General features: G+C 40.3%; 1 annotated feature.

Moving 5' to 3' along the window:
• Positions 11949 to 13148: an enhancer, noted in NCBI's record as "BRD4-independent group 4 enhancer chr9:84138078-84139277 (GRCh37/hg19 assembly coordinates)". NCBI's record gives its function as "activates an origin of replication core promoter dependent on BRD2, P300/CBP, MED14 and CDK7 cofactors, and independent of BRD4, by STARR-seq in HCT116 cells {active_cell/tissue: HCT116}" and the evidence as "EXISTENCE:reporter gene assay evidence [ECO:0000049][PMID:35650434]".

The raw sequence follows: 23914 nt of genomic DNA, 5'->3' as shown, positions 1-23914 counted from the left end.
ATCAAGGTTGGCCCTGTTCTCTGCCTGGGGATGGCACTGGCCCTACCAGCAGGGACACCGCGTTTCCAGCTTCAGGCTTTCAATTCTCTCTATAGCTTAATGGCTCACAGACCTTTTCTGAGACAGCTGGATAACAATGTGCCTTTATGACAGCCTGACTCTTTTCTCCCCGTTGAAATCTCAAACTGAACTGTATAAGACAATCCGTCTCCTATCATTCCATCAACAAGGCCTGAATAGGTAAGGCAAGCGCTCCTGCAGCACTAGTTTATTTTCTTGAATTTTTTTTTTTTTTCCCACAATAAAAGAGTAAGGGGAAAGGACAGTCCAGGGTGTGAAAGATGGCTGGCAAAGGCCTCTGTGTGAGGTCCTTAGCGAGATAATCTCATTCTAAAGATCTGGGTGACTGGAATTTCCATTCCCCCTATCCCCCCGCAGACATTGCCCTCCCCAACATCCTTCTAATACAAATTCTTAAGCATTAAGTCAGGCGGAAAATGAGTCTACTCTACATTTATCTTCCTGAATGGCAGTCAACTCCCGCTTAATCTTTCAACATATATTTGTTCAATGGATCAACAGATTGTGTAAGCAGCATGACGGTTGGATTTAGAAATGTGTCTGCTCATGTTTGGTTTGTGCTGAACCATTGACCATTTTGTTTGTGAATCCATGATAAATTATATCTCTGCATTACCCAGCACTAGGGATGGGACAGAGGACAGTGCTCACACAGGCGGAAAGACTTTTTTAGTCACTGTCATTTTCCAGCATTGAGAATGCTGACTTGTTTTATTTTGTGATTGCTTTTTTTTTTTTTAAGAGAAACATTTTCATACTAGAAAACTTCCAATTTGATTTATCTTCTTTTCCCAAAAGCGTCTCTTACACATTCTTTTGCTATCTTTTTCCCCATTAAAATAAAGAAGACTTTCAGGATATATGGTAAGTAATAAAATAGTATAAAATATGAATAAAAAGGTTAAGAATTAACAACCTTTCCTAATGTCCTATATGGACATATTTCATTCATTCATTAGGACTTTCCTACTGTCCTATATAGACATATTTAATTCAAACTACTGTTCCTCAAAAATGAGAAGAAGAGTTTATTTGGGTATTAAAAGATTGAAGAGTTGATCAGTCAATTCATGACACAACTGATATACGCTCTTTTTCAAAAATGAATTGTCAGTTGTTGCACTGAATATTTAGCCAAGCAACCACTGTTTATTGAGCAGCTGAGCTGCTACATTAAAATCCACGGAGAAAATATAAAAAAAGATAAATCTCCTGACCTCAATAACTTAAATCAAATTGGAGGACTAAAATTATAAACATATTTTTAAAGTTTTATGAGGATTCCTAAATAAAAATGAGGGGAAGAGAAAATTCGTGTTGCAGTAGTATAGTCAGTGAATAAAAAGGAATAATTTTTAGGGCAGTTTTACTCATTGACTTGAAAACTGTTCATCAATATTTATTGTGGAATACCTAGTGTTTTTTGAGCACAGGGTGCATAATATAAAGTAAGATTTACTTTCTATCTACATGACACTTAAGATTGAAATAGGAAGAGAGGAAGTGGGGCTGTGGATGAGAATGGAAAATTGATGTCAGTCGTCATGTCCGAGTCACATCTAACTCATGTCCATGTCAGGCCTGAGGTCAGGAACACCAAGCTGACTGCATTTGCTGGTTCCCAGGAGTAGATTCTGCATGTCGAAGTGGAGGCATTAGATAAAAGGACATTTCCATATATTTCAAATGTCACATTCTTATATTTTAAAATGGAAGCATAAGCATTACTTTGAAATAATCAAGGCAGACTTGTACTTAGACCAGTAGATAATACAACATTTTAAAAAAACCTATTGTTCATGTTGCATTCTAATTACTGAGTCACCGCTGTGCATCCATTGTTGCTGACTCCCCATAAGGACCCTGTCAATAGCTCAGGTAGCTGTTGTTATGCTCAGAGAGGTAAAGAAACTGCAAGGGCTGATGGGCAAGTGCCTGAGGACACAGAGTTATTTGCTGAGTGATCTGGCACAGTGTCTAGGCCTCCTGATTTCTAGCTCTGGGTTCTTTCCTCTTCTGTATTCAGCATCCTTTGATTGAGCTTCACAATGACTGGGAAGAACCCTGATTTGAAAACTCATCTATTGGTTCTTTGTTTTCTTTTTCCTGCTAAGCAATATCAACTGGAGTTTTTCTTTAACTCAAGGTATGTTTTATTATTTATAGGTAAATCCATCTGCAGATGCCAAGACAAATGCTTTGCAAATGGAGATACCATGTTAAGGTGATTCAGTACTGACTGATGCCTCACACACTTTGAATATGGAATAACAGTAATAAAAAAGTCACATAATGTCTAATAAACAGAACGTCAACAAAAAATCCTTTTTGTTACTAGAGACACTAGATTGAGGGACATTCAGGCATTGGAGTGTTTTCCTAGATTTGATGACATTGAAAGGCACAGCCGAACTAGAGTGCTGAACCCCAAATTAGTAGTGATAGTTCCCTTGATTGCAGAAAGAAAACCTTACAGCAGCCAGCCCAAGAAAAGAGAAGGGGTTCTTATGAGGTTTTGCTGCATCTGTCAGGAAGTAGTGCTAACAAATGGACCTTATGGGCCTGGTTGCTGCGAGGATGTGGGAACAATGACCTTTCCTTGACTAATATAAGGTTAGGCAAATCTTGGGTTAGGAATCCACCCCAGGTCTAACCACCTGAGGGTCCCCAGGTGCTGCGCATCACCATGTCCATTCAGAGGAGGGTATAGTCAGAGCTAGCAAGGACCTGTGTCTCTTGTTAAGAATATTCTTTTTATTCTGTTTACCTTACACCACAGCTAATGGACTCAGTAGACTCTAAATGCTCCCTCAATTTGATTAGGGTTGATCTGGTTATTTATAATTGCTGAGAAGCATAACATAGTTTTGTTTTTGCTACAGTTTATTATGCAATATTTGATTTCCTCTAAAAATAGAAGAAAATTGTAATATTCAAAATGACCATATTAGTCAATGGCGGGGACAGAAATCAGAATGCTGCATATTCTGGCCATGTGGACTATGGTTATCCCAATGCTTACTAATACAAGAGAAGGATACAATTATCCATTATTTAGTTATCTCTGATAAATAATAAATATGGAATCTCTGCTAACAGTGACAGAGAAAATATACAAGCTAAGTTGTGTCGTTTTCTTCTTCTCCCTACCACCCCTCCTTTCCCTCCTCCTCTTCCTCCCCCACTCCTTCTTTGGAGACTTTCCCAAAGCAGTGCCCCTCGATTTGGTCTTCTTTATCTCTTCTTATTCCCTGCACACATTTCAAGGCAGGAGTTCCCATCATAGACTGTGAAAAATCTGGGAATTATTGAAATCATGCAAGGTAGGTGTTAGGGACTGAATTATGTCTTCTCAAAATTCATATTTTTATTTATTTATTTATTTATTTTTGAGACAGAGTCTTGCTCTACTGCCCAGGCTGGAGTGCAGTGGCACAATCTTGGCTCATTGCAACCTCTGCCTCCCAGGTTCAAGCGATTCTCCTGCCTCAGCTTCCTGAGTAGCTGGGATTACAGGTGTGTGCCACCACATTGGCTAGTTTTATTTTTTTTGTATTTTTGGTAGACATGGGGTTTCCCCATGTTGGCCAAGCTGGTCTTGAACTCCTGACCTCAAGTGACCCGCCTGCCTTAGCCTCCCAAAGTGCTGGAATTGCAGTCATGAGCCACTGCGCCCAGCCCAAAATTTGTATTTTAAAGCCCTAAGCCCCAATGTAACAGGAGACAGGGACTTTAAAGTGGTGATCAGGGTTAAATGAGGTCATAAGGGTGGGTTCCTAGTCCAGCATGACTGGCAGCCCATAAAAAGAGAGAAAAACACCAGGGATGTGTGCACACAGAGAAAGGCCACGTAGAAGGTGGCCGTCTGCAAGCCAAGGAGAGAGACCACAGGAGAAACCAACCCTATTGGCACCTTGATCTTGGACTTCCAGTCTCTGGAACTGTGAGAAATAAATTTCTGTTGTTTAAGCCTCCTAGACTGTGGCATTTTGTTAAGGGAGCTCTAGCAGGTTAATACAGTAGAAATGGGTATTTTGCAGTTATTTCTAATATTTTGAAAGCATAGGCTATATGTTTTCAAATTATAGGCATATAATTAAACAAGTCAATATTTGTTTTGATAGCTCATATTTCATTATATATTGCATTTCTAAATGGGAAAAGGAATTAATAATGAATAATTTTTAAGAAATGTAGACCAAATAATGAATAATTTTTAAGAAGCATAGAACAAATGTGAAAACCATGTATGTGTACCTCTTGGATGTTTGACTTTAGGGAGCATTTTTCTTTACTTTTTTTTTTTTTTTTTTTTGTAGAGATGGAGTTTTGCTATGTTGCCCAGACTGGTCTCAAACTCCTGGGCTCAAGCAATCTTCCTGCCTCAGCCTCCCAAAGTATTGTGATTACAGGCATGAGCCACTGTGCTCAGCCCAAGGAATGTAATTAACCGAAAGCCCCAAGCTACTGCACGCGGAAGTTCACCACCACGTTCATGCCAAGGCACACTTCCCCTGGCTGTTCCCTGCTATTGACCGAGTGTGGCAGAGATGCTAAGGCAGGCCCATTCTGGGGGATGGGGACTGCTGTGACAGGCAACTGAAGCTCCATAACTATGCATTGATCTTGCTAAAATTTCCCTAGAACTGCATGGCAGTCCAGGTCTCTTGCAAACCTGGCTCGGCCTCCTTTTCTCTCTCCTCACAGGAGTCAGACCTCCATTAAGATCTGACAGCTCTCCCAGCTTCCTCCTGTTTCCTCCCAGTTTTTTCTCACAAGTGGCTTCCCCAATAAGTTTTTTTGCACATTCATTCTGTTTTGGTATCTGCTTTTTGGAGGACCCAATATAACACACCATATTTTTTCAAAACAAAAGATGGTTGAGAGTGGTGATAAAGAGAGGAACTTACTGGGAATGGTAACTCTTCTTTATTATGATCAATTCTCTGAGGTGCCAGTTCCTCCGGAAACGACAAAACTAGATTCTTCTTTGTATCCTTCCCATCCTCTTCCAAACCTCCATCCCCGAAGACAGTAGGGCTCATCTCCCCTTTCCTGTGCTCCCGCAATACCTCTGTCCATAGTAATGATGTGTTTATTCACCTTTCTCTCCCACTACATAGTAAGCTCCTTCGAGGCTGCAACCTTGGCTTTTTTCTTTGAATCACTCATGCCTAGCACAGAGCTACCATGTGAAAATTACTCATTAAATATGAATTAAATGGGCAAATCAACCACTAAGTTAATATATGGTCACTGTCTCAGGAAGTAAGCTAACTGAGGGATTACAGAAGATCATGAAGGATAACCAGGAAAACATGGGTTTCCGAATCTTCCAACAAAAATCTAATGAAGGAAGATTTTGGTGGAGTGGTTTGAAACTGGGGGAGAGGGCAGACTAGTAGAGAGACCTTTCCAACAGCTGTAGATACTGTCTCAGGAACATGCCCTCAAAATGTTAAAAGTCAGCAATGAACACTACAGATGTGACTACTGTTCCCTCTTCACTTCCTCACTCAGTTTCTTAGCCACTTAGGGCTGAGTGGGAGATGCAGAGAAAACGGCTTCGTTCCTTACCTCTGCCTTTTTTAGACTTCGGGGTAAAATGAGTAAAACTTGACATTTTATGTTCCGAACTATTATTCAGTGTCATGGGGGAAAAAGTGCCTGCTATATGGAAATACATTTGCTTGAAAGGGGAAGGGAAACTCACTCAACAAGTGTGCAAAGTTCTTGGCAGCATGCTCTGTACTTCTCGTAGGTTGTCTCATTTACATCTTGTACAACCTTTGATTTTGTTGTCTCCATTTTTATAGATGAGGAAGCTGAAATGCAGAGAGGTTAAGTGGTAGGTCACAAAGATACTAAGTGGAGAAACCAGAATTTGCAAACAGGCCCTCCCTCCTGAATCCCAAGATGATGGTCTTTATCCTACATGGTCTGCCGCTTCATAGCCTAAAAGCTTTTATTTTGAAAACTCTTACCATTGTCAAATTTACAGGCAGATAAAAAATTTTGGTAAGGCCACTGGCAGGTAGAGAAATGCTGGGTGAAAATAGAGGTGGAGAAGGAGAATAATCCAGATTCTAAATAATTCCCTCTAGTAACTACAGGTTGGCTGTAATGAGGTAGAAAAGTGAACGCCCTGGAAGCTGGCCTCCAGGCAAACACATGGTGCTGAGTCACACTAAGAAAGTCACTTCTTCCAAGAGAAGCAGAGAAATGGGGCCATTTAAATATCAGCTGGAAATGGAATTGGGAAAGATCAGAGGAAGCTAGAGAATTCTCAGGCTACTGCCTCTTTGTGTTCAGAACTGAGACTATTAGGAGCAGTTTAAGGAAGAGGGTCTTGCATAGAGGGGGTAAAAATATGAAAAGAATTGGCAGCAACATTTACTGTTAAGGAGATGTTGAAATGCTGCCAGTTAATTTAACAATAGTCTGCCTTAAAAAAAAAATCACATGGGTTTACATAGCCTTCATTTGTATTTGCTAAGCAAAGCTTATCATCACACTCTTTCCTTAATTTTTTATCTTCCTCATACAATGTCCAATGTGGAATTTCATCAGTATTTTCTTTTTTATCCTTGGATGATGGAAGCCTCCAATTTTTTCCCCTTTCCTCTTTACTTTAGAGAGAGGAAGAACACTTAGAATTTGCCCTTGAGATACAATGTCTTCCAAATATTAGCTGAGGGAATAGCAAGGCTCTGAGTTGCCGTGTGCTGTTGTTTGCTGGAATAAATAATCATACAAAGGCCTCGTTCTTTCCTGTCTCTTTCAGCAGAGTTCAAACCAGGGCTATTTACAGGTATCCTCTTAAAACCAATGGAAAGACTCTGAATATCTCAGCTTTTCAATCTTGCTTTTGCTTTTTCTTTTCTATCACCGTGCCCCTTTTTATTTCTTTCTAGGCTCTTGACCTTATTTTTTTATTTTTCCCAAACAATAGGAGCTCTTCTGTGTGTGAGTGAACATGCATATGCTCATGTGTGTATGTGTGCACATTTGTGCATACTTCTGTGTGTGTCTGTGTGTACATGTCTCTCTGTGTGGTATTTCTTTTCTTTAAAAGCAATACTGCCAGGTACAGTGGCTCATGCCTGTAATCCCAGCATTTTGGGAGGCCAAGGTGGGAGGATCACTTGAGGCCTGGAGGTCGAGACCAGCCTGGCCAACATGGCAAAACCCCATCTCTACAAAAAATTGCCAGGCATGGTGGCACAAGCCTCTAATCCCAGCTATTCGGGAGGCTGAAGCATGAGAATTGCTTGAGCCTGGGAGGCGGAGGTTGCAGTGAGCTGAGATGGCGCCACTGCACTCCAGCAGCCTGGATGACAGAGTGGACTTTGTCTCAAAAAAAAAGCAATACTCACTGTACCATCACTGAATTTCCAAGGCTCTGCCTTCCGTAATTATAATTTGCTAGGTGTTGATAGACTAAAAGTCAAATAGAGATCTTAAATACTCACTCCCCAATTCTACTGCCATTTGGAAATTTAAATGTATGAAATGCCTTGAGATGCCTTGAGGAGGTTATGACACTCTGGGCTCAGATTTCTCAAATGTTCACATATGTATCTGCTTTTAAAAACAGGAATTTCTTTTCTTTTTTGAAAGAGTAAGCACCTTACAAATTGGAAGTCATCAGAATTTTGCCTCTCCCTATTCATCATTTGCCGAACACAGATTAAGGCACATTATCAACCTACTCAATTACAATGGAACTCCTATGGAAATTTCTGCTACAACCACATTAATATCTCATTAGTTCATCGTGTTAATGTTATTACAATGGTTATCAAAGGAATTGGCACTGATTGGTACCTAATTTTGAAGGGTTGTTGCCCCGAGCATCATTGGAGAGGGAGGCTCAGGAGTAGTGGAAACCTGCTCTCTGTCATCTTCCTTAAAAAAAAAAAGAAAAAAAGAAAGAAAGGACAAGTGAATATTCCTGGCAAAAACATGCTGCAGAGACTGAGACTCAAGATATAAATCTATTTTGACAGGTGAAGTCATTATTCTTATCAGCTAGGATAGCATTATTCTTTTGTTTTATTGGCAAAGCTAGCAAGAAGACAAAATTTGTCTTTACATAAATGCATTAGAAGGTAATAACAATTAGTTGATATAATTAAATTATTACTAATGGTGATAACATCCCGTCTGTGTCTTTACAATGAACATGTAGCTCTGCTTATTTACATCTTTCCCCAAAGGAGTTCAAATAGATTTACAGAAGAGTTAAACCACTCCTACTTTCCCATTCATTTGCATACATTAAAAGAAATAAGGCATAGAAGTCAATTATGCCATTTTATCAGGAAAATAATGTCTCTGCAGTTTTAAGCCTTTCATTAAGTTGGTAATCCTCCATGTTAGGGCAGTAACATTTGTGCAGCAGTAAGATGGGCAGAACCAAGACTAAGATCCAGGTGCTATGACTTCCGATGGGTGTTAATTTCCATGTCTGCGAGGTCTCCGGCTGGCAGTCCTCCACAGTGATATCAGAGCTGGCCTTGAAGACAGATAGAAAGAAGGTAAAGCCCATTGCTTATGCTGCCTATACTTTTCCCACCTGTTTCCCTACTTTTCCTTTATTTATTTATTTATTGAGTCAGGGTCTCACTCTATCACCCATGCTGGAGTGCAGTGGCACAATCTCGGCTCACTGCAACCTCCGCCTCCCAGGTTCAAGTGATCCTCCCACCTAAGCCTCCCCAGTATCTGGGACTACAGATGCGCACCATCACACCCGGGTACTTTTTTTATTTTTTGGTAGAGACGGGGTTTAACCATGTTGGCCAGGCTAGTCTAGAACTCCTGACCTCAGGTGATCTGCCTGCCTCAGCCTCCCAAAGTGCTGGGATTACAGGCATGAGCCACCGCACCCGGCCACTTTTCCTTTAGATATTCAGAACACTCATGGTCTTTTCTATGAAATTTTGAGGTGGGTTCTCATTGCGGTTTACCTTTTGGTTTGTTTTTATTTTCTTAGCCAAAAAAAAAAAAAAAAAAGCTGAAAGTGAGTTATAGGGAGTAGTTGTTATTGAAGTTTTGCAGAGAAAGCAGACATGGTGAAACAGGCCTCCTGGAGAGTGGAAGAGCAAATTATGTCAGAAAATGTTGACTAGGGCTTGTCTGGCAGTGCCGATGCCCCGTCCGAAATTAGCACAAACATTTAATGAGTGAGCCATCAGTGTGGTTGTGAGGATTTCTCCTTTCGTGTTCAGCTGCTTAAATGCAGACACATAGTTGTACTGGGATCTTGCTGGGTTTGGAGGACAAAAGAAGAAAAGAACAAAAACACCGAAGGTATATGAAAGGGAAACATTACAGTAGGGGATTGTGGAGTCTAACCAGGGTGAGGAGGCAGTGGTAGAAGTATGACAGACAGTGAAAAGTGGAAGAGGCAGTCAATGGGAGATTCCACTGTGGTTGAAGCATATTGGCTCAGAATTGTTGGAGGAATGCCCAAGAAAAACAGAAGATGATGAGCTCAGTGAGACTCTTGACATGGAAATTTTGGAGTCAGTATAGTTGTTGAGAATGACGCTGTCTAGGACATCAACATGAATGGAAAGTAGATTATTGCAACAAGGGCAGGTTAATCTGGTCATTTATTCTGACAATACATGCTTCCAGGTAACTGGGGAATTTTAGAGTAGAGGGGAAACAATAGTTTGGCAGTAGAAATAAGGAGCAAGGGGAAACCTAGCCCATCTTCAACAGTTGTTGAGTGTTGGATGTGAGAATAAAAACAGTCCTTGCTTGAAAGGGCTGCCCTTGAAGTGATACCTGAAAACTCCAGCTAGAACAAGAAGGTGAAGGTAACTTTCAGAGGGAAGGTCACCAGCATAGGGCATTTTGAGTTCTTCAGGGTACAGGGCAAGGTGTTAGGGAGTCATGTGGGGGGGGTGATTGCGTCAGATTAGAGGAGGTGCAAACCCATATGGGGATAGAGTCTACGTGGTAAGAGATGACTCTGGGGAGTGGACTCTTTGTTGAGACTGGGATGGCAGGTATGCAATGTATGATGCATGTAGTCCTGATCACTTTAAGGGGACATGAAAATCAGTTCTTATCATGGCATCCACCGTGGGCATAATCTGCTATATGATGTGAAATGTGAGACTGCAGATACATAGTGGGATGTTGAATGGGAGGATCTTGCCAGAAATACAAAGGGTTCTATGGGTTTTCCTGAAATTGAGTTGTGGGCAATTTATGAGTGGATGGGATAGGAAGTCTTTCCAAAAGATAAAGAGTTCTGTTTAGAAATTTTGAAATAAATGTTGAAAGAAGAATTATAAAAAAAAGTCTAAAATAGTTATTTTAAAATTTTTATAATAAGCCTTTGGGGGCTATTATTTAACTGAAAAACTGCATATTTATTATTTTGTTAAATAAACAAATGATTTTAAAAAATGATGAGTTTCTAGAGAGGATGGGGATTATTTTAAGAGAGAACACTGAATAAAAAGGATATATATAAAGAAGAAATGGCAAAGACTCCTAATTGCTGATCCCAATGTCCATTTACTTCTTCCTCCTTAATAACAGAACCTCAGTTTTTGGCAGGGCACTGCTACATAAGTGAATAAATAAACAAACAAATAAATGAAAAGATTGCGTTACATAAAGTATTTTCCCAGCCTCCCTTGATGCTAGATGGGACCAAATGTCTAGCTTCTGGCCAATGAGATATAGTGGAAGTTGGACTGACCAATGGTGGGTTAAAAATGGCCAAACATCCTTTGGCAAGTCATTCATCCAGAGATGCAGTCTAACCTCCCTCACCTTGAATCTGGTCAGGTTCTAAGGCTGCATTCTACCTGCTGTGCTGTGAGAAGCCCAAGTTACATGCAAAGGCCATGTGCAGATGCTCAGGTTTAGAGTCCCAGCTGAGCTTCTGGCTGACAGCCAGCTTCATCTCCTAGCCATGTGAGTGATGCATCTTAGATGTACAGCCCAATTGAGCCTTCAGATGACACAGCCCCATCTGACTATAGTGACCCCCAAATGACAATTGTTCAGTTGAACCCAGTCCATCCACACAACTGTGAGGAATAATAATAAATCAAAGCCACTATGTTTTGGTATAGCTTCTGCACAGTAATAGATAACCAGAACAGTGTCTTTGTGGTAATGTTATTATTGTTTTTACCATTTGCTGCCCACCTGTGAAAGAATTATATGTCCATCCCCATAACCATGTGACTTGCAGTGTTTCCCTCTAAGAAGATTCTACTCTGTTTCTCAATTAGTGTAGAGTTTGGTCATATAATTGTCTTTGGTCAATGGAATGTGAAGAACAGGTGACAAATGCCACATACAATCAGAAGCTTTAAGAGAAATTGCATAGATCAGCCATTGTTCTCTTCCCTCTGCCACGAGACTTAAGCCTGCTTCTTTAGTTTAGATCCCTGTGTTAGTTTGCTAAGGCTGTTAGAATACCACAGACTGGGTGGCTTAATCAACAGAAATTTATTTCTCACAATTTCTGGAGGCTACAAGTCAGAGATCACAATGTCTGCAGAGCTGGTTCATTCTGAGAGCCACGAGGGAAGGATCTGTTCCAGGCGTCTCTCCTTGGCTTATAGATGACTGTCTTCTCCTGTCTTCACACTGCACATGTCTGTGTCCTAATTTCCTCTTATAAGGTCACCAGTTATATTGGATTAGGACCCACTCTAATGACATCATTTTGAAATTAATTACCTTTTAAAAGACCCCATCTCCAAATATAGTTATATTCGGAGCTACTACGTATTAGGACATCAATGTATGAATTTTTGGAGTGACAAATTTAGCCCATAACAATTCCCAAATGGGAGAAAATGTGGAATAGAGTTTCAGCCAACCCACAGACAACTTGTGAAGAGAGTGAGAAAAATATGTTGTAAGCCTCTGTTATTTTGGACTTTGTTGCCACAGCATAACCTAGCATAAGATAACCAATGCAGTCCTTTAAAGGGAAGAACACATTCTTCTGCACCTCTTTCTCCTTCGTGCTGCTTGGGATATGGACAACCTTGACACTCTTAGCCAGTTGGACCATGAGGTTTATGCTAAAGATTGCTGACTATGATGACTATGAAACTGCCACACCTACCATGGGTGAGCTACCTCTGGACTTTTTCTGGGACAAAGAAACTTCTATCTAATTTAATATAGGAAAGAAAATGATGACAATGCTTCCTTAATTAGAACTGTGCTTCAAGGAGCTCCGACTGGGCAAAGGGAAAGAGAGAACCCCAAACAGGTAAAGAAATTGTAAAGAGAGGGTAAAGCACACCCCCGTGTTGTAAATGCATATTTTTCTATAAATGATATTTCCACTTTTTTTTTTGAGACAGAGTTCTGCTCTTGTTGCCTGGGCTGGAGTGCAATGGCACGATCTCGGCTCACCGCAACCTCTGCCTCCCGGGTTCAAGCAATTCTCCTGTCTCAGCCTCCCGAGTAGCTGGGATTACAGGCATGCGCCACCACACCTGGCTAATTTTGTATTTTTAGTAGAGACGCGGTTTCTCCATGTTGGTCAGGCTGGTCTCAAACTCCCGACCTCAGGTGATCCGCCCGCCTCGGCCTCCCAAAGTGCTGGGATTACAGGCGTGAGCCACCGCACCCGGCCGATATTTCCACATCTTAAAAAAAATCTTGTAAATGAGATTGGTGAGTAATCTCAGCAAACATGGAGTATGTTAAAAGATCAGATATGGGTAAATGCCATTTTACCTACCATTCCAGTTTTCAAAAGGAGGAAGGGAGATTCTGCAAACTGTTGAACTGTGAGCTTTATTTCCGGGAGTTCCAAGAAGAGGAATTGGTTGGGTCATCATTACAGTAACCTCATTTCCTTCTTTGACAGATATATTGGACTATGGAGCCAGGGGAAATGCAGCAGTGTGTACTTTTGAACCAAAGCAAGTCATTTGAAAGGGCTTTCAAAATGTCTTCATAGATCAATTAGAAAACTATCCGTTTATAGATCAAAAAGGTGTACGAAGAGTAGTTTCTGTTGGACAACCAGAACGTAGTTTCTATCTCTATCTACTGTCATGGTGTCAGCTTCAACGTAAGGATTGGCTCCCTCTTGTGGTTAAGAGATGGCTTCATTGCTACTTGTTTCAAATATGGAGAGAGGATTCCTTCTGGATCTTCCTTCTCTGTGGTCAAAAAGCTTCAGTCCCAGATTGTGACAAAAGAAAGTCCCCAAAAGACAAACAAAAAAACCTTTTTCTCATATTTAATTGACTTGCAATTGAATCAGGAGTCCATCCCTGAACCAATTATTCTGCCCAGGGAGAGGAATGCTCTGCTTACCTTGGGGCTGACTAGCTAGGGGCGGAGCTTGGCTTTCCCCAAAACACATTGACTTCATGGGCTGGGAGGGTGTGCTTACGTATGGATGTGGATGTCTAAAGAGAGCTGACGAGTTAACAAAACAGGGAGTGGATTTTTTTGGTGGCCAAATATAATATTCACTGTTCTTGGAAGATTTTGAGACTGAGATTCTTTAATGATATAATGCAGAAGTTTAAATTTTGATGAGCTCATGATAGATTTATCAGGATTCCATTAACCACAAAATATCCTCCAGTTAATCAGATGAGTGAACCCAAGGGGCCGAATTGTTTATCATTATTTATCTTGTGGCAGAGACATGTGGGCCAAAAATGGACTTTGGCTTAATTATAATCAAAGTTAACACTCTACTACCTAATTATAGTGGACAAATATGTTTATCTTCTTTAGAACATTAGAGAAGGAGTATGTTCTCAGAATGGATAAGAACGACAGTCATTCTTTTTTTAATTACAGGAGAGCCCATATCTAGTTTATCTGAAGATTTGTTTCAAGTTGCGGGCAGGACATGGTGGCTCATACCTGTAATCCCAGCACTTTGGGAGGCCAAGGTGTGAGGACTGCTTGAGTTCAAGGGTTCAAGATCAGCCTGAGCAACACAGTGAGTCCTCATCTATGCTAAAAGTCAAAAGAATTAGCCAGGAGTGGTGGAGTGTGTCTGTAGTTCCAGCTGCTCAGGAGGCTGAGGCCATAGTATCACTTGACCCCAGGATATTGAGGTTGCAGCAAGCTATGATTGCTCCTTTGCTCTCCAGCCTGGGTGAAGAGTGAGACTCCGTCTCTAAATAAATAAATAGGCCAGGTGTGGTGACTCATGCCTGTAATCCCAGCACTCTGGGAGGCCGAGGTGGGTGGATCACTTGAGGTCAAGAGTTCGAGACCAGATTGGCTAACATAGGTAAAACTGAAAATACAAAAATTATTATTATTATTATTATTATTTTATTTTCTCTACTGAAAATACAAAAACTAGCCAGGCATGGTGGTGCGTGCCTATAATCCCAGCTACTTGGGAGGCTGAGGCAGGAAAATTGGCTGAGCCTGAGAGGTAGAAGTTGCAGTGAGTGGAGATTGTGCCACTGCACTCCAGCCTAGGAGACAGAGTGAGAACCTGTATCAAATAAAATTAGATAAAATGAATAAGTAAATAAATCAAAAAAGATTTGTATTAAATTGTGCTGGTATAAATTAAAAAGGAATTTGCTAGAATGCAGTCCTTTTTAAAATGCCATCTGAAATAGTAGTTTGGAATACTTAAACTTCAGTGTTATCCTCAGGGTGATATTCTTAAAAAGTCTCTCAAAAGATCCTTAAGCGTCTTGGATCATTTTATTGAGATCAGACAGATTTTACTTAAAAATGCTTAGAGTTATTCAATAGCTGTTGCTGTTTTTAATGAGATCCTCTGTTCATTGATGCAGAGTGTATCAAGGGTCAATGGTAAAAAGTTCATCTGAAACTACTTTGTTCCTTATGCTGACTATCTAATTGAGAAATCAATGTGTACAATGTATTGAAGAAAAAGAGACCACAGAGTTTAGGTTGATATTTGGTGAAATGACAGATCTGTAATTTTGGGGATGTTGAGAGAAGTCCTTGTAGATAAATCATCCTTTAGGGTGTGTTGCACGAGATCTAAACCTAAGAACTTAAAGAAGTTTTGAAAACCCTGTCATTCACAGGGTTTAATGAGTTCCATCAGCAGAAGATTGTCCCTGGGGGCTTTTATCACCTGAAAATGGTTAAATATTCTACAGCTCCTTATTACTCAAAACCTGTGGTCCACGAGCTAGCAATATCATTACCACGGGAAGCTTGTTAGACTTGCAGAACCTCACCTCCATCCCTGGCCTGCTGGTTGGAATCTGCCTTTTTACAAGATGCCCAGAGGACTCATGTGCCTGTTAAAGTTTGATCCTGGATTATTAAAGCTCAGTCAGGGAGATTTCCACAGTCCACAGAGCATTGTGAAGTGTGGGTGGGGGCAAACAAATTCATGTTTCTTCCGGTCCTCTTAAAGATAGTCCTTCAGCTTTCTCACGGAATTTTCATTTCCATTAACTGTAATGGCTACTCATGATGTTTCCTCTTAAAATCTGTACTACTTTCTTCTTTTTTTTTTTTTTCAAATTAGCTGTCTCCAGAACAAAGCCTTTGGATTGGAGCAACCTCAGTTTGAAATCTGGATCTGCAACTTCCTGGAAGTATGACTTTGGTCAAGTTACTTCAACTGTTGAAGCACAGTTTTTTTTATTTCTAGAATGGGTTAATATTGATCTTATACTATTGAGAGAATGAGTTGAGATGATATGGGAAAGCATGTAGCCCAGTGCCTGCCAAATATAAAAAAAAAAATCACTGAGTATTAGTTCCCTTTCTCCTTGCTAGAACATGCAGTCAATTGAAACAGAGTTATCTACTACAAATGATGCAGAAACTACAGAAAGTTTTCCCCTGCATAGCAAAATCCCAGTGTGGCTCCCATAAAACAGATTTGAAGCAGCTCTACTTGCCAAGTAAGTGACTTGCAAAATGATATTTAAATAATTAAGTAGAATTGAATTGTTTAGTGTGGTCCATCTGGACGCCAAATTGCACCCGCCAAAATGATAATTTGGATTTTAACATAATTGATACTTTACTGTTCTTCCTGAGTCTGATTTGTCAACAAGCTTTGCTACTTCTTTGCTACTTAGCTTTTTACTCTGTGGCTGCTTCTGAGTTCTGATAAAAGGTTTACATCTTGCTAAGTTTCCTTGACTTTTTTGTAATTTTTGTCCCTGGAGGAGCCAGAGTGGTGCATTTCCTGGTTCTCAGATATATGGCTAAGTGGGTCTTGATGAGTCATTGAGCAATTGGCTGAGAAACTGCACCTGAAAGATAGCCTGGGCTGAAAGCTATAACCATCATTAGCTCTTTACAGTTAAACTGTGACTCTATCTTGAATTCCATGATCACTCTATCCCAGGATAGATGGATTGTGAAATGACACTGATATGGTTTGGCTCTGTGTCCCCACCCAAATCTCATCTCAAACTGTAATCCCCACGTGTTGAGGGAGGTAGGTAGGTAATTGGATCATGGGGGCGGTTTCCCCCATGCTATTCTTGTGATAGTGAGTGAGTTCTCACGAGATCTGATGGTTTTATAAGCTTCTGGCATTTCCCTGGCTTGCACTTCTCTCTCCAGCTGCCTTGTAAGGAAGGTGTCTGCTTCACTTTCGCCTTCCACCATCACTAAGTTTCCTGAGGCCTCCCCAGCCATGCAGAACTGTGAGTTAATTAAACCTCTTTCCTTTATAAATTACTCAGTCTCAGGCATTTCTTTATAGTACTGTGAAAATGGATGAATACAGACAGCCGACTGCATGGCAGCACTTCACACATGGAGGGGGGCCTTGAGGGCCGTGCACAGGCAAGTCCATGTGACTGAAGATGAGGTGTCCATTCCTGGGTTCTTGATGTGAACTGCAGGTCTCCACAATTCCTTCCTCCCAGAGAACTTCATGAAGTAGGTTCTCAAGATATTATCATTTATTTATAGATGCTTTTTAAAATTCAAAATATAATAAACCATACAAGGGAACATAACAAACACCTGTATTCCCACCACCCAGAACTGTTAGTATCCCATTTAACCCTCATTTCTTGTCCCATTTTTTTCCCCAATACCTCCAAAGGCAAACACCATCAAGTTTGGTGTGTGTCATATATACCTTTATTAAAAAAAAAAACCCTGTCCTGGTGCCGGGCGCGGTGGCTCAAGCCTGTAATCCCAGCACTTTGGGAGGCCGAGGCAGGCAGATCACGAGGTCAGGAGCTCGAGACCATCCTGGCTAACACGGTGAAAGCCCGCCTCTACTAAAAATACAAAAAATTAGCTGGGCGTGGTGGTGGGCGCCTGCAGTCCCAGCTAATTGGGAGGCTGAGGCAGGAGAATGGCGTGAACCTGGGAGGCGCAGTGTGCAGTGAGCCGAGATCGTGCCACTGCACTCCAGCCTGGGCGACAGAGCAAGACTCCGTCTCAAAAAAACAAACAAAAAACTCTATCCTGTCTAGCTATCTATCTTTATCTCTCTCTCTCTATCTATATTTAATATGTAGTAGTATTTTGTGAGTGCTTTTTAAAATTTACATAAATGGCATCAAATTGCATCATTTATCACCTCCCTCCCTTCAACATTATGATTTTATGATCTAGCCATGTTGACAGAGCCAGTTAATTTCTTGTAATATAGACCCAATCAATTTCATTTAACGGTAGAACTTTGAATCTTGGAAACAGACCACACTTCTCTCTTTTTAGGATTTATGAGTTGTGGCTAATATCTAGACACCATCAATAGATCTATGCCATGCGCCGGCATTTATGTTCCCACCCTAATGGTTTGCTTATTTAACTAATGTCTGCTGTTTCATTAGATTAGCATATTAATTAAAACAGTACTTATCCGTCCTGGTAAAGTGATGACTTGTATGGTTTATTCTTTTGTTCATAAAGTTAAGAGGTGATGTTTGTGCTCTTTGGTGAGCTCAGACACCCCAAATAAAGGTCAACATATTAAACAACCCATTTGGTAAAAACAGGAGTAGTCCACTTAAGTATCCTCTTCTAATTTGTTGGCTATTGTTAGACCCAGACCAATGAATAGATTGCTTCCATGTTTAGACAGGTCTCGGCTTAACCCAGCATTCACAGCTTGCCTTTCTGTTTGGCAGCTGGGGTGAGAAGTTTCTGTGGCTTCTGTCTGTCAAAGAAAAATGTGTTTACCCTTATTAACAAAGTCAACAGAGTAATGACACTAAGGTCTTTGAGGTCATCTTCGTGCCACACTGAATGGAGTAGTTATTTTAGTGGGAACATTATCCCCCATATAAACTATATTTTCCAGGTGCCTCAGAACTCTATCTTCTGACACCCTTTATTAGGGATTTTTTCCAAATTGTCAAATAAAAATGTCGCTATGCAAAGTTGTACATTGAAGTGAAATATACTACAAAGAAGTCAATAGCCCTGGAAGTTGAGTTAAGTTCTAATTTCAGGGAGAATGAACATGTAAGCAGGACTAAGTGTGTGTGTGTATGTGTGTGTGTGTATGTGTGTGTGTGTGTCTGCATGGGCACACAAGGGCCATATTTTTGGATTGTGGTGTAAACAAGCACATTTTAAATGAGCTTTGTGCTGACTACCCTCTCTGATCATTGATGTTTTACTTTTCATTCCAATTAGATATTTCTCCCTACTCCTCCATGGTAATCTTTCTGGTTAAAGTCACCAGTGACTACGCATTGTCAAATTCTGTAGCTAATTCTCAATCTTTGTCTTACTCTAGCCCTTAGAATGTTTGACACAATTGATCACTCCCTCTTTGAAACACTTTCTTCATCAGGCTTCTAGGGACAACATTTGTTTCCTGTTGTTTATCCATTCTTTTTCTGTCTCTTGTGTGAGGTGTCCTTTATCTTCCAGACTCCTTAATGTCAGTGTAACCAAGGGGTCAGCCCTCCCATTTCTTTACTTTTTAAAAACATACAAAAAGATGTGATCACATCTGGTCCATACCCATGAGGTAATGATTCCCAGATTTATATCTAGTCCAAATCTCTTCCTTGACTTTTCAACTCTTATGTCCAATTTGCCTCTTGGGCAACTCCACCTTAAAAACTGTAAAACTGAAGACTTCAGTTCCATACCCCAAATCTTTGTGACCTCAGTATTCCCCATTTTAATAAATGGGACCTCCATCTATCTAATTGTTCAGGCCACAAACTTTGAGTCCTTTGCTCACCTTCATAATCTGTACCCATTCTATCAGTGTATCTGTTGTGTTTAGCCTTAAAAATATATCCAGACTGTGACCCTTTCTTAACATCTCCACTGCTACCACTCTAGTCCAAGTTGCTGTAGTCTCTGCATGGACTATGTCAATTGCCTCAAGTAGCTTGTCTTTTCCCACTCTTGTCATGTTACAGATTAGTCGCTGACCAGTAGTTAGAATGATTCTTTCAAAACATAAATCTGATCATGTCATTTTGTCACTTTAATCCTTAAATGGCTTCCCATCGCACTTGGAATGAAAGAGAAAGCCCTTCTAGTAACCTTCCACATCCTATAAGATCTGATCTTTCTTAAAGCCTTTGTACTCACTGTTTTCTCAGCCTGGAGTATTGGTTGAGACATTTTCATGATTTGCTTTCTCACTTCACTCGGATTTCTGCACAAATGCCACTTCATTAATGAAGCCTTTTCCGACTACCTTATCTAAATCTTTCCTCTACTCTTTCCCCCTTAACTTGCTTTATTTTTTCCCTTTATTTGTGTAGTGTCTATTTTCTTCAACTAGAACCTAAGGTCTTAGTGAGCAGGGACTCTGTTCAATTCACTACGTATACCCAGATCTAGAAGAATCCCTGGCACATGCATTTGGTGAAGTGAGGAATAATGGATTCTATGTCATTCTTCCCCCCATTTACATTTTCATTGTAGTTGTAGTTATTGAAAAAGTGTCACTTTAAAGAGTGTTGTCAGGAGGGCATCTGGTTCCCTTGTGATTATCCCCATCCTGTTCTGATCTGTTACACATTTTCACAGATATTAAGAAATTTGCTCAAGAAGCATGAATACTTCTGCAAACATTTTGTAGACAATGGTACCTCATGTACTGCTCAGGTTCCCATCTTTATTCTAAACATTTTCTTCAGCTTTAATAAATTGTGACTGAGAATGACATAAAATCAGCAGAAATGTTATATGTAGATTACTTTGCTTGTTTAGAACAATAGGAGATGAGGAGAGACTGTCTAAATTAATAACTTTTAGTCTTGCATATGCACATATATGAATATGTAGCTTTAAGTATATATATTTTTCTTTTTTTTTTTTTTTTTGAGACAGAGTCTCGTGGCTCACTGCAGCCTCCACTTCTTGGGTTCAAGCGATTCTCCTGCCTCAGTCTCTCAAGTAGTTGGGACTATAGGCACATGTCACCATGCCCAGCTAATTTTTGTATTTTTAGTAGAGACGGGGTTTCACCATGTTTGCCAGGCTGGTCTTGAACTCCTGGCCTCAAGTGATCCATCTGACTCGGCTTCCCAGAGTGTTGGGATTACAGGTGTGAGCCACCATGCTGCCCCTTAAGTATATATTTCTTGGTGCAAATATCTACTAAAATTTGCCAAGTAAAAATTCTGTTGAATTTGCTTAAGATTATAAATGTAACATTGATAATTATTATAATAACTGTATGCAAATGAGCCTCAAAATTTTTAGCATGATTGGAGACAAGTGAATTTCTTTAGTAAATAGTTGTTTGTCTTCTACTTGGTATGCAGTAAAAGGGGTAAACATCGGCCTTGTATGATTTTTTTTTTTTTTTTTTTTGAGACAGAGTCTTGCTCTGCCTCCCAGGTTGGAGTGCAGTGGCGCAATCTCGGCTCACTGCAACCTCTGCCTCCCAGGTTCAAGTGATTCTCCTGCCTCAGCCTCCTGAGTAGCTGGGATTACAGGTGCATGCCAGCATGCCCGGCTAATTTTTGTATTTTTAGTAGAGATGGGGTTTCACCATGTTGGCCAGGATGTTCTTGAACTCCTGATCCCAGATGATCCACCCGCCTCGGCCTCCCAAAGTGTTGGGATTGCAGGCGTGAGCCACCGTGCCCGGCAGGCCTTGTATGATTAAATCACTGCAAATGTTGAGTTAAAATTTTCTAAACTGAGGAAGTGTTCCTGTGATTTTAAGAGTTAAAAGGGGCCGGGCGCGGTGGCTCACGCCTGTAATCCCAGCACTTTGGGAGGCCGAGACGGGCAGATCACGAGATCAGGAGATTGAGACCATCCTGGCTAACATGGTGAAACCCCATCTCTACTAAAAATACAAAAAATTAGCTAGACGTGGTGGTTGGTGCCTGTAATCCCAGCTAGTCGGGAGGCTGAGGCAGGAGAATGGTGTGAACCCGGGAGGCGGAGCTGGCAGTGAGCCGAGACTGCGCCACTGTACTCCAGGCTGGGCGACAGAGCAAGACTCAGTCTCAAAAAAAAAAAAAAAAAAAAAAAAAGAGTTAAAAGGAAGAGCTGAGACTCCGGTTTTCTTGGTTTAAATGTGAGGAGGGTCTTTTGGTGACTTAATCTTGACCCTTGTGAGGGTTTCTATTTCCTCAGAGAAGCCACAGAAAACAATGTAATCCCCTAAATTGGGAAGGGCATTACTTACTTCTGACACTTCAGGTAACTCCAGAGTGACCCATTTTCTTGCTCACCCTGGTGGTTCTAGAAACTGTGGCGGAGAAAGATGGCCTAGTAAGAGATCAGTTGGGCTAATTTGAAGTTGAAAAGAATCCCCTCCCCACTTTCTAAACTATCTCTTGTCTTACTGAATTATCCCTTGGAAACAAAGGAAGAATGGCAAAATGTTAAATGCAATAATCATGCAAGCAAAAATATTGTCCAGTATCAAATTAGATAAACTGACAGTGCATATCCTGAGAGTACCTCAAGAAACTTCTCCGTCATGACCACTGGGGAAGTGAGTTAAGTGGATTTAGATAATGCTTTTTGTTCTGGCTGAAAGTATTCTCCCTGAATTTTCTTCCTTGAATCCCTTCTCCTCCCTTTCAAGTCTCTAGTGTCATTGATTCTCTTCCAACAAGAGTACCTAAGTATGACATCAAAAGAGCTAGCATGCCAAAATGGTGCCATATTTATTTTCTGGGGTGACCTTCTTGTAGGCTTCTAGTTATTAAGTTAGGGGCCTGAGGGTGGGCCTGGTGACTGGGTGGTAAAGTGCTTTGATGGGTAAAAGTGCAAGCCCACAATAATGCTTTTGTCTGAAAACAAATCTTTGTATCATGTGTAAAACAGAACAATTCCTGCTTTCATAACTTTTTATGATAAGCCAATTGTCATGTTAACACATTACCTTAAAAAATTGTTGAAAAGGCCTACACCCAACTAGGTAGTCAGTAATGATAGGGTGAGAAACATATCCAGTCGTATTACAGAAAAAAAGATGAATATTGACATTGGATACTAGGCTCAACAAGAAAGGCAGAAGAGCGCATAGATTCAGCAAAGGGCAAAAATTTCATGCTCAAGAACAAAGTGATGTTTGTGCTCAGCTGCTGAAAACAGAAGGATCCAACTCTGAGTTCCATAAAACCAAACTGGATTCCTTCCTTCCTTATTTTATACACACATTTCTCTATTCTGTACAAACTCTTCTGAACCTTGCTTTTAAACTTATCAGTATATTTTGGAGATTGTTTCATAATATTACATATAGAGCTACCTTAGCATTTTCAATAGTGCCATAATATTTTGTTATTTTGTTGTATTGTAATGGTTTAAAATGATGTCTATTATTGAATATTTTAATTACTTCCAATACACAAATATGGTCTTTTTTGGGAGGAATGCTCTACATAAATTTCATGTACGTACATCTTTGTGTGCATCTGTAAGTGTATTTGAAGCATAATTTCCTGAAAGTGCAATTGCTGGGTCAAGAGTATGTGAATAATTTGAAAAGACACTGCCAAATTGTCATTCATTAAGAACATGCCAGTTCACACTTCCACTTACAATAAGCAGGAGTGGCTGTTTCCTCATTCTTTTTGTCAACATGGGATGTTACCAAATGTGTTGATCTTTGCCAATGTGCTAGTTAAACCACAGAATCTCGTTATAAGTCTATTTGTATTTCTCTTATTATTAATGATGTTTAACATCTTTTGAAATGTTTAAAGGTCATTTTTAGTTTCTTCTCTTTGAACTGTCTTTTCATATCTTTTGTTAATTTGTGCTTTTTCCCATTAAACAATTAGATGAGTTAATGGTTTATCTATTTGATTTGTTTTTTTCAAGAAACCAAATTGTGAATTTAATTATTAGTAGTGCCACTTTTTTTCCTGATTTCTAAGTCATTGCTGTTTTCATCTGCTTCACTAGTTGTGTGTGTGTGTGTGTGTGTGTGTGTGTTAACATTAAATGAAACAAGACTGGCAAAATGATGAAAATAGCTGACAGTGGATTAATGAGTACATAAGAGTTCATTATAATGTCTTTTATACTTTTATGTTTGTTAGAAAAATTTTAGAATAAATGAATACTCTCCTTAAGCTTTGTGCAAATTAATTTGAAAGCTTTACACAGTAAATGGTTTTCTTGAAAAGATACAACTTAATAGAACGACTCTTGTATTCCTTTCTTGGTCTCTTCATCCCCCCACCACACCCCGAAATGGTCCCAGGCTGGAGTGCAGTGGCACCACCTTGGCTCATTGCAACCTCTGCCTCCCAGGTTCAAGTCATTCTCATGCCTCAGCTTCCTGAGTAGCTGGGATTACTGGCGTGCGCCACCACACCCAGCTAATTTTTATTATTTTTACTAGAGATGGGGTTTTGCCATGTTGACCAGGCTGGTCTAGAGATGAACTCCTGACCTCAGGTGATCTGCCTGACTCGACCTCCCA

Source organism: Homo sapiens, chromosome 9 (genome assembly GCF_000001405.40).
Source record: "Homo sapiens chromosome 9, GRCh38.p14 Primary Assembly".
NCBI classification, from domain to species: domain Eukaryota; kingdom Metazoa; phylum Chordata; class Mammalia; order Primates; family Hominidae; genus Homo; species Homo sapiens.
The sequence above is the reverse complement of the archived record's forward strand: the minus strand, read 5'-3'. Positions and strand labels throughout refer to the sequence as shown.